Below are 17,116 nucleotides of genomic sequence, written 5' to 3'. Positions count from 1 at the left end.
AAGCAGAAAAGCCGAAAATTCTAAAAATCAGAGCGCCTCTTCTCCAAAAGAACGCAGCTCCTCGCCAGCAACGGAACAAAGCTGGATGGAGAATGACTTTGATGAGTTGAGAGAAGAAGGCTTCAGACGATTGGTAATAACAAACTTCTCCAAGCTAAAGGAGGATGTTCAAACCCACTGCAAAGAAGCTAAAAACCTTGAAAAAAATTAGACGAATGGCTAACTAGAATAAACAGTGTAGAGAAGTCCTTAATGACCTGATGGAGCTGAGAACCATGGCACGAGAACTACGTGACGCATGCACAAGCTTCAGTAGCTGATTTGATCAAGTGGAAGAAAGGGTATCACTGATTGAAGATCAAATGAATGTAGAGGATCATGCCTGTAGAGGATCAGTTAACGCAGAACTGGACAAAACACTTGGGAAAGGAAAAATATCCTTATTGTGTCATTTGCTCCACTTGTGCAGCCAAGTAAGAATGATAATGGTAAACCAGATTCTGTGGGACTCCCTCCCTGTGCTGTCAGGAATCCACAGGGCTTGGCTTGTATTTACATTCGACGCACACTTAGAAATTTCATAAATGATGAGATGCAGGCCAAGGGGATTCCGCAAAGGGCTCCACCCAAAAGGAAAAAAAAAAAGAGAGTTAAACAGAGAACTAACACATACATATTTGTGGGTAATCAGCTTATTCCTCAGCCTCTGGACAGAGAGGAGGATGAAAAAATGGAAGATAACAAAGAAGAGGAAGAAAAAGATCACAGTGAAGCAATGAAGCCAGAGGAGCCACCTCAAAATTTACTGAGAAAAAAATCACAACGCTGCCCCTTCCTGAATCTTTAAAAGCTTACTTGACATATTTTAGAGACAAATAGTTTAGATCAAGGAGAAAGAATGCCACCAGTAATTCCCTTAGTCTTGAAAATGTAGCGTTTGTTAGGAGTTAAGAGAGAGAATTATTTCTTTCATCAGAGCGAATTATAGTGGAAAAAAGCAAAACTTGTTTCTGTCAGTAACAATAATAATGTAAAAGAATCCCTTTTATAAAATCTATTTTTCTTTAAATCTTGGAAGAATGCTGTTTTAGCTCAGAGTGATATCAAAGTGGAATGAAACAGTAATCAAGACTTGTGTACTATAAATCCTTTTCTGATTCCTTACAGATTTGTAGTGGTAAGGGTTAGATTTAATTTTATATAAGGTTTAAATAATCATCAAGCTTATATAATGTGATCTGAATTGCAGTTGTTTGCATTTCCTCTATAAAAACTTTCTCTAATAAGGAAATCAAATGCTTTGTAGACCTATTTACCTTACTTTTGTTGCAGTCACTGTTGCTGGGATGCTGTACATATATTCCGGGGTAATATATGGGTACAAAACTGTACAAGATATTGAATAATTTAGCTTTAAAAAATCCCACAAATTTTATGAAATTTTACAGTCCTGCTACTTCTGCTTTTGAATCTCTTGCCAGAAGACATGGGTAAAATATCTGCTTCTCTCATTTTAAGAGCACAGCCAAGTGAATTATTAAAATAGAAAGTATACACTTAATACAGCTCTTAGTTTGTATGGACCCTTTACATTTTCAGTATTTTTTCTTTAATGAGGTTATCTTAACTCTCTAGCATTTTAAAAGTGTATTTAGAATTGTTTTTCCTGTAGTTCACTATATAAAGCATTTGGTTTGAAAAAAAAATTGTTACGTGTGACTCTTGATAAGACACAGAAAGAGTGAAAGAGCATGAGTGATGGCCACCTTCCTGGCTGTCTCTAAGTAGCAGGGTAGATATGATCCCAGATGCACTTTAGCAAACGGAACTTCCAACTTATCTGAGTATTTATCTTTGACAAGGTAGGGCTAAGCTTGCCTAGATTTGCTTTGGATCTTTCTAGTATAAGAAATATTCACAGAAATTGTTTGTTTTCAAAATCCTGTTCTGAAACATATCGTAATCTTTGGGACCCATGCCATGTTCATTTCACTTCTTCCCATATTTTTCGTGTTTCTTTTGGTAAAATTATAATGGCTTTCATTTTGTACTTAATATCACACACGTAAACCATCCATCATTTGAGCTTTATTGTAGCTTATCAGTGATAAAAACAGGCAGTAACTGCCATTGTTTGTTTGTTTTCCTAGTAAGGCCTGAAAACAGACATTCTTTGTTAAGAAGGTGTACAATGTAACATATTTACTAGTATTACATGGATTATATATTTCTTAAAGGGAAAAAATTTGAGAGTATCATGGACTACCACCAGCATTGTTATTACAGTAGTTGCTCAGATTTGGTTAAGGAAGCCCAATCAATGTATAGTGAAAGTATTATTATATCTCTGCTAAGATTCAGATATTGTTTCAAAAATCTCAGCTCCAATAATTCCACACACCTAAAAACAAGTGTTTATACTCATCTAAGCATGAAATTGTCCCAAGTAAGTGAGGATATTTCAGTAATGTGAAAGATACTTTCATGGAAGGTATCTGTTTTATACCAGTGGGTGGGGTGGTAGAATTGGGAGTATTTCTACAGTTATTCTTAGATGATTACTGAAATGCCCCATCTCATTTCTATTTAGGAAAGGAAAAATCAGTTTCATACTACTGTTGTCACCTGTCAGAAATGTTCACTTTATTTTGAGTTAAATGTTGCTTTAGAAGTTTAATCTTGAATTCCTGGTGACCACATGTTTATATCTGGAAAACTTGTGGAGAGTTATCATCTGCCCTTTCCCCCACTTTTTTTTTGGTTAGAGCTTCTGTTTAGATGTGTAAAGACAAATATTCTTAAATGATAATTTTACTATTTAGGAGGGAGTTTTTGTTGAGGATATATTTGAAGATTGGCTTTTTCATATTGTCTTTCATTCTTTGGCCTTGGCAAAGTGTACAGTAGATTTTCATGATCATTGCATACTTTTTGTCATTGAAATATATCTTTTATTTTTTAAATGCATTCATTTTACAGTTGTGACTTTATCATTGACTTTAAGAGGTAGAAACAAAAATGAAAATTAAAGTGAAAAAAACATACAGAATGCCTACAAATCAATCAAGACAAATAACCTAATTTAAAAATGGGGAAAAGATGTGAATAGGTACTTCACAAGACCCCTTCCAAAGGGCTAATAAAAATATTAAAACACAACCTCAGTACACTAGCAAAGCAGGGGGCTGGTGAGGATATCGAGGAACTATAACTCTCATAAATTGCTGATAAGAATGTAAATTGGTTCAACACTTTTGCAAAGCTGTTTGGCAGTATCTACTTTGGCAGAAACATGTCTACCCTACAATTTAGCAATTCTACTCTAGATATATGTGCAAAAGAAATGAGTCAATACATCCAGCAGAAGACTTATATAAGGATTTCACGGCAGTTTCATTCAGAGTAGTTAAAAACTGCAAAAAATCCAAATGCCCATCAAAGGAGAACAGATCGATAAATTGTGTTATATTTATACAATGAATGTTAAATAGCTTAAAAAAGAACAGACTACCAATACACTAATACACACAACAATATAAATGAATCTCAGAAATTATGTTGAACAAAAGAAGCCAGATACATACAATAAACTACATACTCCATGATTTAAGAACAGACATACGAATCTATGGTGATAGTATCAAAATGAGGGTTATACCTCTGATGGAGAAACTACTGACTAAGAATTGACTGAGAAGGGGCCCGAAGGAATTTTCTGAAATGATAGAACCATATGTTGATCTGGATGGTGGTTACATGGATACATACACACGTAAAAACTCACCAAGCTATATACTTAGGATCTTAAGAGATATATACCTTACTGTATACAAGTTATAACTCAGTAAAAAAGAAAAAAGCCAAATTGCTCTGCATAAAGATGCATCTTACAAATTTTTTGTGAATCAAAGTCAAATGCAAGGAATCTAGTTTGTTCACCACTGCATACTTACTTAATGCTTAATACAGTGCCAGGTACATGGCAGACAGTACATACGTTTTCTTCACTTTTGTTTTTTTGGCTAGAATAGTGTAGCTTTTAATTCTACTTTTCCTATTTTTAACTGTAGTAAACTATACATAACATAAAATTGACTATCTTGACCATTGTTAAGTATACAGTTCAGTGGCATTAAGTACATTCATACTGTTCTGCAACCTTCGCCACCATTCATCATCCATCTCCATAGCTCTTTTCATGTTGTAAAACTGAAACTCTACACCCATTAATCAATAACTCCTCATCCTCAATCTTCCCCCAGTCCCTGATAACCATCACTCACTTTTTCTGTCTCTATGATTTTGACTACTCTAAGTACTTCATACAAGTAGAACCATAACAGTATTTGTCCTCTTGTGACTGGCTTATTTAGCTAATGTCCTGAAGATTCATCCATGTTGTAGCTTACGTCAAATTTCAAGACTGAGTAATATTCAGTCCATAAGTATTTTTGAATTAATAAATATACCATAACAGTAGTTTATACAAATTCCAAAAATCAGCCTCTTCTTTTCAAATATACCAGGAACTCCAAAAACTAAATATCTAAGACACAGGAAAGCTGACAGGAGGAATGAAATAATTATATTCAAGAATATGGCTCACCTTGTTTGGGTCAAGATTCCCCAAAACTGAACTGGCCTGGGGGCAAACTTCAGACAGTGAGCAACCAATCTTCATGATATCCTTATTTCTATTGATACTCTAGAAAGATTAGATATAGTATAAGATACAGTAAAATATTATTTTACAGTGTTACACGCTTGAGGGTTCTAAGCATGATAAACTTAAAAGATTTTAGGCCATTAGAAATTAAATCAACTTCTTATGCCTGTATTTTTTCATAATTTAAATGAGTTATTTATAAGAAATGAGACTAGGCCATAGAAAAAGTTTACTTCCCAATGTGTTCAAATTAGGTAGAATTCAAACAAGATACCAAATATAATTAAATCATATGGAAAGGATTCCTTAAAGATTGATTTGATTGCAGAGCTCAAACTGGGAAATAAAAGATGATCCTGGGACATTTGATGGTGCCAGAAAGTAAAGAAATGCTAAAAAAAAAAAAAAAAAAAAAAAAAAAAGCAGGTTGCGATGGCTCACACCTGTAATCCCATCACTTTGGAGGGCCGAGGTGGGAGGATCATTTTTGAGCCCAGGAGTTTGAGACTAGCTTGGCAATGTGGTGAAATCCTGTCTCTACAAAAATAATACAAAAGATTAGCCGGGCATGGTAGTGTGCACCTATAGTTCCAACTACACAGGAAGATGAGGTGGGAGGATTGCTTGAGCCCAGAAGTTCGAGACTGCAATGAGCCATGAGCACACTACTGCACTCTAGCCTTGGTGACGGAGACCCTGTCTTGAAAAAAAAAAAAAAAAAAGTGCTCAAAAAAAGAATAGGAGACGTTTAAGGACAAGTACCAATCTGTATTCTTTGGTGAACTTTGTCCCAATGGCCAAGGCTGAATAATTTAAACAACAAAATAAATTATGATAGCATAGGATTATAACCCACGGAATAAATATCCTTGAGTTTATATTAATATAAATAATTGAATAAATAAATGGCAGAGAAGAGACAGCTCTTCCTTACAGAAGAATTCCAATTAATAAATGTGGAAGGAATGAGGGGAATAGAAAATCATCATTAGGCAAGCACTAGAGCAATAAACAATAAAATTCGTGGGTGAAAAGTTGAACAGAAACTGGATTAGACAGCCACAATAAGTCTCCTAAAACATTAATTAATTACAAAAGAAAAGAGTAACTTTACAGCGAAAAAACCTGGAAGTTGCCACCTTACCCAAGTGAATCAAGGTTATCATCAATAAGAAGGTATATCACATCATGAAACCCCAATATGATATACTGAGAGGACTACAATATCACTTCTGTGGAACTCTTGCTAATCTATTCATAAGAAATCATCAAACAAACCCAAATTAAAAGATACTCTACAAAATAACTAATATTCATCAGAAGTGTCAAAAGTCTTGAAATACAAGGAAAAACTGAGGAACATTCAGAGGTTAAAGGAAACCAAGGATACACAACTAAATACAATTTGGGATTCTGTATTGGATCCTGGAACACAAAAAGACAAAAAACTGCTAAAATTTAAATAAGGGCTGTAGTTTAGTTAATAGCATTGTACTAATGTTAATTCCCTGGCTTTGATCACTGTACTGTGGTTATATAACACATTAGCATTAAAGGAAGCTGGGTGAAGAGTATACAGAGCCACATTCTAGCCTCTGTACTAATTTTGCAACATTCCTGTAAGTCAAAGTTTCTTCAAAATAAAATGTTAAATATATATATATGTTCTAAAGAAATATACCAACAAAATATTCAATAATGCTAGAAAGAACATGATTATCCGTGATGACTGAAAAAAAACTCTGAAAGAGCAGTTCAAAGAACATCATGATGAATATCAAAGTCTCAGCATAGAACAGGAACTGAATTTAAACTGACCCTGAGAAACAAGAGAAGCAGCCTTTGTGAACAAACCCCTGGAATCAAAATATTCCATATAACTATATTTTTTCACTATACAGACTAAAACAAATAGGAGCTCTTTGTTTGTTTGTTTGTTTGGTGCAATCTCAGCTCACTGCAGTCTCAATCTCCTGGGCCCAGGCAATCTTCCCACCCTCAGCCTCCCACATAGCTGGGAACACAAGCATGCACCACCATGCCTGGCTAATTTTTTTTTTTTTTTTTGTAGCGACAAGGTCTTACTGTTGCCAAGGCTGGTCTCAAACTCCTGGGCTCAGGCGATCCTCTCACATAGGTCTCCCAAAGTGTTGGGATTACAGGCATGAGCCACCATGCCTGACCAGAAGCTTGTTCTTTCAAAGAAACAGGTGGAGTCAAATACGTCAGATTCCTTCAGCTGCCACTCATCCAATCTGAAGTGTTTGCTTATAAGTGGTTTATAAGGCAGAAGCCCACAGGGCAAAAAAAAATGGAGAATACACGTGAGCAGATTTTCATCCTAATCTGCCTACGCGTATTTCCAAATCTCTAGTCTTCTCTATGCCTATATCCCACCATAACCCCAACCAAATTTGCCAATTTGCTTATTGAAATAACCACTACATTCATTTATATACCATTAGTAGTTTTAATGTTTAATCTTTTCATGCGCATGTTTCCTGTTTTAAACGTTCTTCTACAAGAGCCTCAACTTCATGGTTTAACTCAGAGGTTGGCAAATTACAGCCGCCTGTTTTAGTAAATAAAGTTTACTGCATCACAGCTACACACACTCATTCACATTATGTCTATGGCTGCTTTGCACTATGTTGGCAGAATTGAATAGCTGCAAAACAAACTGTATGGCCTAAAAATGGTAAAATACTCATCATCTGATCCTTTACAAAAAAAAAACTGCTGACTCTTGAATTTGCTCCAAATTCAATCAACATATTCACAAATAAAGTAAACTGAAATCAAAGTCTAGAGCTGCACTAGTGAATACAATAGCCAATACCCACTTGAAATATGGCTAGTCTAAGGAGATATGCTGTAAGTCTAATATACACACTGGATTTCAAAGACAATATTAAAAAGGAAATATAAACTATCCTGTTCACATTTTTATGCTAATTATATTTTGAAACAATATTTTGGATATATTGAGTTAAATAAAATGTACTTATTAAAATGTCACCTGCTATTTTTAGTTTCTTCAATGTGGCTGCCAAAAATGTTTTAAAATTACTTACATGGCTCATATATTTCTACTAGACAGCACTAGTCTAGAAAATCTTTTTACACTGATAAATGATGTTTCTGTATAATAAGCTTAAATATAATTTATCATCCACCCTGGGACACTGTTGAGAGTGATGCAGTTGTCACTAATACAGAGACAATGGGCATGGAACCAGAACGTGTGAGCAACCTTTAGAGAATATGCATAAGCAGAAACAAATTTGCCAAATATATGTGCATAAGCAGACACACGAATTTGCCCCAAGTTTTCTATAACATCACCCTTCTACAATTTTTTTTTACATGCAGCCATGCCCCACATAGTGACATTGTGGTCAAAGAATGAACCACACACACTACAGTAGTCCCGTAAGATTATAATGAAGCTGAAAAATTCCTATTGCCTAGTGTAGTCCTAGCCATTGTAACATCATAGAACAATGCATTACTCACATATTTGTGGTGATGCTGGTGTAAACCTACCGTGCCCCAGTCTCACAAAAGCACAGCACATACAATTATGTACAGTACATAATACTTGGTAATGAAAATAACTATGTCACTGGTGTGTGTGTATATATATATTTTTTTTTACTATAATTTTTCTTATTTTAGTGTACTCCTACTTATTTAAAAAAGTTAACTGTACAGCCGCCTCAAGTCCTTCTGAAGGTATTCCAAAAGGGCATTTTTATTACAGAAGATGACAGCTCCATGCACATTACTGACCCTGAAGACCTTCTAGTAGGACAAGAAGCGGAAGTGAAAGACAGTGATATTGAAGATCTTGTCTTCGTTTTTAACCAAAAAGTTTTTAAAGTAAAAAAAAATTAAAAGTTTAAAAAGAGAAGAAAGCTTTAGAATAAGGACGTAAAGAATATTTTTGCACAGCTCTACAATGTTTGTTTTAAGCTGTGTTACTACAAATGAGTCAAAAGTTTATTAAAAGTTACAGTAAGCTAAGGTTTATTGAAGAAAAATATTTTTATAAATTTAGTGTAGCCTAAGTGTATGGTATTTATAAAGTATACAGTAGTGTACAGTAATGTCCCAGGACTTCACATTCCTCACTACTCACTCAATGACTCACCCAAAGCAATTTCTAATCCTGCAAGCTCCATTCATGGTGAGTGCCCTATACAGGTGTACCACTTTTTAATCTTTTATAATATGTTTTTACTGTACCTTCATGTTTAGATACATAAAGACTTAATATTGTGTTACAATTGTCTGCAGCATTCAGTACAGTAACATGAGGTACAGGTACACCACATGGCCTAGGTATGTGGTAGGCTATATCATCCAGGTTTCTCTAAGTACATTCTATGATGTTCATACAGCGACGCAGTTGCCTAATGATGCATTTCTCTGTATGTATCCCAGTCATTAAGTGATGCATGACTATATATTTAAGAACTCTGGGTTAATCATATTCTTCTAGAACTTTCTTCTCATATATTCTCCTTATTTCCCACATTACGAGTTCACCTCACCCCCCACCAAAAGGAGTTCCCATGCTGTAGGGAGTATAGAGAAACGTAATTTCTTTCCCTTCCGTATCATGTATAGTTTACAAAACCAAAAATTAGCAGGTCGTTCTGTGCATCAGAGGAATTTACCTTCTTAAATTGTGGAACACAGCCCTTCAGTGCTTGCTTTGTATTTAAAACTGAGTAACCTTACCTAACTGACACCCTCCCAACAGAAAATCAGAAATGTTTCATTCATGCTTCCAATTCTATAATGAGAAAAATACCACATCTCAAATTTAAGCCATTAGAAAAAACGACCGAGATTTTTAACTTATCCTCCTTCAAGAAACAATCTTATAAAAGACCCCTAGATGGGGCTATAACTTCACAAATACAACAGGCTCTCAGAATCCAGCAAAAGCAGCCTAGAATTGAGTGGAATTCTGAAATCACAATCTTGCCAATTTTCTTTTTTCAAACTTGGTGTATTATGGGCATAACACTTGACTCATAATGAGTCAAGTAACATCACAGCTGTCAACATTTGTCTCCTAATAATGCCTGGTGATAAATAATTCAATAAATATTAGGCAATGAGAATGACAAATGTATTTATTCCTGGGTTTTATTTTTGTTTTTGTTGGGGAGGAACTGGATTGGGGGAGGTGAGGGGGGATATCAACCAGTTTGCTATTTACCTGGGCCCAAAATGTTACTGCATCTTCTATGTGACTTCCAACCACATCTTCCACTAAAATCAAATCACAATACAAGGAAAATTAGAAATTAATCAGTATCATCTAGCTCTTACACCCCAAAATAATTTTTAGTGTCAGTACCTTTATCGTAATGTGTATCTTCATCCATTTGAACAATTCCTGAAAAACTAGAACAATACCTTAAATTAGATTACAATAATCCACCATTAATAATGAATGAAGACTAAACTACATCATGTTCAATTCTTACAAATGTTTTGTCCTAAATGCAGTTATCAAAATTCAAACTCTATATTAAAAATGAGCTCAATATTTCCTTCACTAACTAATTCTTTTGAGTATTTTGTAGTAGATGCAATTTTATCATATATAATCTCTATCCTTAAAATTATCTCTAGCCAAACTTTTACAAACTTATACTGAACTCATATACATTTTGATCACTTACATAAATCAATACTTTGAAACAATGTACATATTCTTTTTTTAGAAAATATCCTCCCATAAAAAGGACTTCCACAATGTAAACAAAGAGAAACATTACAAGTAATAGAACAAATGCTTTAAACTGGTAGTCTATTTTATGTAAAAGGCACGGTGGTTACTATTTTTGAAGATTCCGTGGGATTAAAGACTGCAAAAATACCTAAAATTTTGCCTATTACTTCAAAAATAATTTTAATTACATAATATTATACTTTATCAAATGCAAAAATATTCCAAAATAAATGTACACTATGTAATTTTATCTGTAATATACTAAAATACTGCACTTTCCATTCATAAGTGTTGAAGGAAAATTAAAACACAGATTTTTTATGGGTTTTTTTTTTTTTCCCCCCAAACGAAGTCTTGCTCTGTCGCTCAGGCTGGAGATCTTAGCTCACTGCAACCTCCACCCCCCGGGTTCAAGCAATTCTCCTGCCTCACCCTCCCAAGTAGCTGAGATTACCGGCGCGTGACACCACGTCCAGCTAATTTTTGTATTTTTAGTAGAGACGGGGTTTCACCATGTTGGCCAGGCTGGTCTTGAACTCCTGACCTTGTGATTTGCCCACCTCGGCCTCTCAAAGTGCCGGGATTACAGGCCTAAGCCACCGCAATTTTTTAAGAGCTTTAAAAGTTGTCTAGGAACACCACTATACTAAAGTTTCAAATGCTCTCTCATTATGAAAAGGAAAACATTAACTCCTCATCACAGAAAAATAAAATTTTAAAAATGGATTACTTTGTCACAACTTAATTTTTTAAAAAAATTTTTCGTAAGTGGCATGAAAATGTCTCCAAAGCAAGGGTTCTTTTCTACTGGTCAAAAAGCAGTTTTTAAATTCAACTGACTGAAAAGCTGTAATAACTTTTAGGGAGACTATATATTCCCACGGAAAGCATTAAGGCTTAAATTCAGTAAAAGTTAAAATTACTTTGGAAATCTCTCCACACACTCCAAGAAGCTACTTCTAGAGTAGTTTTTAAATCTTATTTTAAAATGACTTGCCCTGATTATGAAGGCACTGATGCCGTACCCACTTTCTGCAAACAGAGATCACAAAATAGTACGTCCAAATCTCCACTTCGTGATGAAAATTTGGAAGAAACGGGTACACGTAGCTCTCTGACACTTATTTTATAAGGGATTTTGAAACTTAAATGGCACAGAATTTTCGAGAAGGGGAAGAGAGTGTGGAGGCTGCGTGACCGCGTCTTCATGGAGATCATTCAGGCCGGAGGTCTTTTCGAGCCACTTTCGCCTGCCTGCATGCACTCAAAAACTGGGGCATCTGGCACCCCTCTGGGGTGGCGGGCGGCTAGAAGGTGACAGAAAACCCTGAAATGGGCCTCGTCCCAGGATTGGAGACTTAAAACGCAAGCAGCGACGAAAATAGTCCTTGAAGCGGCCACCACTGCACGTACCACAAAAACTACTACTGACCTCACACTTTCCGTTGCGGAAGCTCTAGAAGAGTGACCCTGGACCCACATACTGGACTTTCGGCCCTCCGCCCGCCGTAGCACACGTGCAGCGGCTTACCGCGTGAGCTTCGACCGCAAGGGCCCCACACTGCGCCTGCGTGCACAGCGCTGCGCCATCATCCGGTGTTAGCGGGAGTCACGTGGCAGCCACGGCCTGCCGCCTAGGAAGAAGCGTGCGGGAGCCGCCTGACGCTGGCTGCTGCCGACCCCCAGGCACTGAGGCTGCGCCCTGGTGATTTATAGGCCGGGGTGGGGTCTAGGGCCAGTTCCTTTCGCAAGGCTTCAAGCTGTGACTTTAGAGGTGACGTAGGATTTCGTGGTCTTTCCTAATCTGTTCACGTGGATTTAAATTTTAGAAACACCCAAATTAGAAGAACCCCGACATTCTATTTACACGATGGAAGAGAGAAAATAACTTTGGTAACTGAAAATGTGTTTTTCAGATTGGTAGCTTTACAAGCGTTGGTCAACTAATCCTTAGATTCCACAGCTCTCTGTAGTATTACAACTTTTTCCACAATCTTAAGAAGAAAAAATTAGTTGTCTGCTTCTTTGCAGATATTACACTTTGTGGCAAACCTTACACAACAATTGAAAATTATCTCCGGTTAATTTTTAACAGCTTGAAGGTTAAAGTACAATAAACTGCAGATATCAAAAGTGCATAATTTGTTAAGGGTGAACATATGTATACACTGTTGAAATCACCTCCACAATTAAGATAAACTTTTCCATCACCTCAAAGTTTCCTCATGCCCGGTTGTAATACCTGACTCCTCCCAGCTCCCGTTCTGCTTTCTGTCACCATATATTAGTTTGCATTTTCTAGAATTTTACGATAATAGAATCATACAGTATGAACATTTAATCTAGCTTCTTTCCAATAGCATAATTATTTTGATTGATAAATTTCGTCCTATGTGTCAAGAGTTTGTTGGGTTTTATTGCTGTTACTATTCCACTGCATGAATATAACACAATTTGTTTATCTACCTTTTAATAGGTGTTTGGACTGCTTCCAGTTTTGAATTGTTTCAAATAAAGCTGCTATTGTGTGCAAGTCTTTGTATGGACATATGTTTTCATATCTCATGGGTTAGTACCTAGGAGTGGAATGGCCAAGTCATAGAATTGTATATGTGCTTAAAAAATTGCCGCATAGTTTTACACAGTTGTACTATTTTATATTCCCACCAGCGGGTTTCAGAGTTCTAGTTGCTCTATATCCTCACCATCATTTGATATGGTTTGTGTTTTTAAGTTTAAACATTCATGTATAAATGTTTAAAGTGGTATCTCCTTGTGATTTTAATTTGCATTTATTTCTCTACTAACTAAAAATGTTGAGAAACTTTTCTTATGTTTATTTTCCATCCAGATCTTCCTAAATGAGGTGTCCAAGCTTTTTCCTGTTTTCTAACTGAATTTATTATTGAGTTTTGACAGTTCTTTATATACTGTGGATAAAACTCCTTCAGGTTTGAAAATATTTTCTCCCAGTCTACAGCTGTCTTTTTGTTTTCTAAAAAGGGTACTTCAAAGAACAAAAGTTTTTAATTTCAATAAAGTCTAATTTATCGGTTTTGTCTTATGGTTCATGCTTTTGTGTTGTATGTAAGGAATCTCCGACTAGCCTGGTTCACAAAAGTTTTCTTCTATATTTTCTTCCAGAAATTTTACATGTTCAAGCTTTACATTTTGATATATAGTCCTTTTTGAGTTTATTTTTATAACATGTGAAACAATCAAATTTTATTTTATTGCATATGGATATCTAATTTTTCCAGCATCATTTGTTTAAAACACTGTCATTTGTCTATTGAATTGTCTTTGCACTATTGTCAGAGATCAATTAACCATACATACGCAAGTCTATTTCTGGATTCTCTGTTCTGTTACACTGATCTATTTGCTTTCTTTAGACTAATACCACACTGTCTTAATTACGGTAGTTTTATTTCATGCGATCGTAGAAGCAATTTGTCAGCATCTACACACACACACACACACACACACACACACACAGAGCCTGCTGTGATTTTGATTGGGATCACATTGAATGTATACACCAATTTGAGGAGAATGGACATCTTAGCTATATTGAGTCTTCTGATCCATGAGCACAGTATATTTATTTAGGTCTTATTTTATCTCGCTGAGTGATGTTTTATGCTTTTCATTATAAAAGTTTTACTTTTGTCTGATTTATCCCTAAGAATTTCATTTTTCATGCCGTTGTAAATTGTATTATTTTCTTAATTTCAACTTGTTTGTTTTGTTGCTAGTATATAGAAATATAACTTTAGTATATTGTGTATTATTTCTGTGATAGTTTTTTTGTGGGTGGGTGTGTGTGTGTAAGACAGGGTCTCGCTCTGTCACCCAGATGAGAGAGCTGCGGTGCTATCACAGGTCATTGCAGCCTTGAGCTCCCGGGCTTAAGCAAGCCTCCTGCCTCAGTCTCCCAAAGTGCCGGTATTAGACACTGAGTCTAGCCTATTTCTAGTGATAGTTTTTAAAATAAATTTAACAGGATTATCTACATAGATGATCATGTCTTATGCAAATAAAGGCTGTTTTTACTTTCTCCTTTACAATCTGGAAGTCTTTTATTTATTTTTATCTTGCCGTATTGCAGTGGCTAGATCCTTCAGTGTAATGCTGAAAATAAGTGCTGAGAGCAGACACCCTTGCCATGTTCCTATTCTTAAGAGGAAAGCATTTTCCTTTCACCATTAAGTATGATGTTTGCTGTGGGTTTATAGTAGATACCTTTAATAGATTAAGGAAGTTACTTTCTATCCTGAGTTTGCTGAAAATTTTTATCATGAATGTGTGTTGAATTTTGTCAAATACTTCTTTTCATATCTATTGAAATGATCATGTGGTTCTTTTTTAGTTTATTAATATGATGAATTACATCAATTAATTTTCAAATGTTATACCAACCTTACATTTCTTGGATAAAATTCACTTGGTCATGATGTATTATCCTTTTTATATATTGTCTTATTAGGTTTGCTAAAATTGTTAAGAATTTTTGCATCTATGTTCAAGAGGAATATTGGTCTGAAATTTTCTCTTCTCATAATGGCTTTGTCTGGTTTTGATATCAGAGTGATGCTGGCCATATAGAATAAGTTGCAAAGAATTCCCAACTTCAGTTTTCTGGAAGAGTCTTATAGAATTGATATTCTTTGTTCCTTTAAGGCTTGGTGAAATTCACTGTGCGGCCATCTAGCCATCTAGGCATCATTTCCTCTAGTGCACATTCTAGCCATCTAGAATTTTCTTTGTGGTAAGGTTTTTAACTACAAATTCAATTTCTTTAATAGATATAGGGCTAATCATGTTACCCATTTAGTATTTAATGAGCTTGATAGTTGTGTCTATATTGTAATTTTTTTAACTTTATATTTTCCTGGTGCCTCAATATCCCCACAAATAGGCTATAACCACCCTGCCCAAGTGACCAGGTGTACCAGGGTGATAGGCTATTTCCTGCCACGTCCCGACTGTGACCTAATGACATTCAAAAAGCACCAATGAAATCCCTTCCCAGGTTTTCTTGTGTACTCTGCTCTGACCCCCAGTAAAGGCACTTGCCCATGGGTCCTCACTCTCTCTAAGCTCGAGCATGCTCCCTTGGCGTTCAAACCTTATATGTAGCCCCCATGTGGCATGTCATGCCTCCCTTTTCTAGAACAAATGAGTATAATGACGTCTTTAATTTTATATGCCTCTCTGGAATTTCCATGGCCAAACTGGAATGATCTTTAAATATCCCACAAAGGGGACTTACAACACAGTGTTTTTTTAAGGAATTTGTCCATTTCATCTGAGTTGTCAAAGTAATTGGCATAGTTATTTATAGTATTCCCTTAGTATCCTTTTAATGTCTGTAGAGTCTATAGTGATGTCACCACTCTCATTCCTAACATGGATAATTTGTGCCTTCTCTCTCTATCTCTCTCTTTCTCTCCCTCTCTCTCGTATTAGTCAGGCTAGAGGTTTATAAATTTTATTGGTTTTATTGATTTTCTCTCTTGCTTTTGTTTTCTATTTCAATTTATACTCTGGTCTTATTTTCCCTTTTCTATCTATTATAGTTTCATTTTCTCTTATTTTTCTAGTTACTTAAGGTAAGGGCTGATTTGAGATTTTTCTTCATTACTGATGAAGGCATTTTGGTGCTATAAATTTTCCTCTACATACTGCTTTAGCTGCATCCCACAAATATGATGTTGTGTTTTCATTGCCTTTCAATTACAAGTGCTTTTATTCCCATTTTGACTTTTTTTCTTTGGCCCATGGATCATTTACATGTGTTATATAATTTTCAAACATTTGAGATTTTTCCATGTATCTTTGTTATAGATTTATAATTTAATTCCACTGTGGTCAGGGGATATACTTTAAGATCTAAATCATCTTAAGAATATTGAGCCTTGTTTTATGGCCTAAAATATGGTCAATCTTAGTAAATGTTCCATTTGCACTAAAAAAAAAAAAGAATGTGTTTTCTGCTGTTCTTGGTTAGTGTGTTCTATAAATGTCAATTAGGTGAAGTTGGTTAATACTGTTGTTCAAGTCTTCTATATCCTTACTGACTTTATGTCGACATGACCCATTGGTCAAGGGAAGCATCTAGGTCATTAAGTCTGTCCTACAGCATCTAAGAAGCCCTGGGACAAGAAGCAAGAGCCATCAGTGTAGGTCCAAGGGCTCTGTCAGCCTCAAAGTATGTCTATCTCAATTATGTATATATAGGGAGAGTAGAAGTAAAGAGTGGGACCAGACCCATTTTACCTTCTGTGAGATTAACTTTGGCCAGGACGCCATTTGTCACTGAGCTTCCCTACTCTAACCAGTGAACCACAATGGTATTTTGGGTCTTCTGGAATCCATGTCAGGTCAGGCACTGTATCCAACAGTCATTGGTTGAAAAAAAAAATCTGACTATTCCTTTTTATCCATTGCACAGTTACCTTGGTAAATGATGGTACGTGACTGCCCCTTGGAGAAAGGATTAGGGGGATATTTACCAAATATATTGGATGATCCTTCCTCGAGGGGATCTGGGCCTTCCCTTGCATCATGAGCTTTAGATCTGGAAACTGGATGGGGAACTATGGTTTTTCATTACCAAGATTGATGTCAGCCTTCTCCTTGCCAATTCTCAATTTTCTTTTTTGAGGGGTGAGAGGAGTCAAATAATACAAGTC

At 35.7% G+C, this 17,116-nt stretch overlaps 1 protein-coding gene and 1 pseudogene across 9 annotated transcripts in view; one reads left to right on the top strand and one right to left on the bottom strand.

Moving 5' to 3' along the window:
* STK31 (serine/threonine kinase 31) overlaps positions 1-12,104 on the bottom strand; it is a 122,432-nt gene extending 110,328 nt beyond the window's left edge. For 3 of the 9 annotated variants that reach the window (NM_031414.5, NM_001260505.2, XM_006715758.5), the window contains exons 1-4: positions 11,851-11,967; positions 10,041-10,087; positions 9,900-9,952; positions 4,607-4,705 (exon numbers count right to left, since the gene is read on the bottom strand). In NM_031414.5, coding sequence (NP_113602.2) covers positions 4,607-4,705; positions 9,900-9,952; positions 10,041-10,087; positions 11,851-11,900 — 249 coding nt within the window. In that variant the 5' untranslated portion in view covers positions 11,901-11,967. Of the gene's footprint in view, positions 1-4,606; positions 4,706-9,899; positions 9,953-10,040; positions 10,088-11,415 lie in introns of all 9 variants that reach the window. The other 6 variants (NR_048542.2, XM_011515452.4, XM_011515449.4 and 3 more) reach the window with 6 other exon arrangements.
* On the top strand, positions 377-1,076 carry PCMTD1P3 (protein-L-isoaspartate (D-aspartate) O-methyltransferase domain containing 1 pseudogene 3; annotated as a pseudogene).
* Positions 12,105-17,116: the final 5,012 nt, after the last annotated feature.

The sequence above is a fragment of the Homo sapiens genome, chromosome 7, assembly GCF_000001405.40.
Source record: "Homo sapiens chromosome 7, GRCh38.p14 Primary Assembly".
NCBI classification, from domain to species: Eukaryota; Metazoa; Chordata; class Mammalia; order Primates; family Hominidae; genus Homo; species Homo sapiens.
The sequence above is the reverse complement of the archived record's forward strand: the minus strand, read 5'-3'. Positions and strand labels throughout refer to the sequence as shown.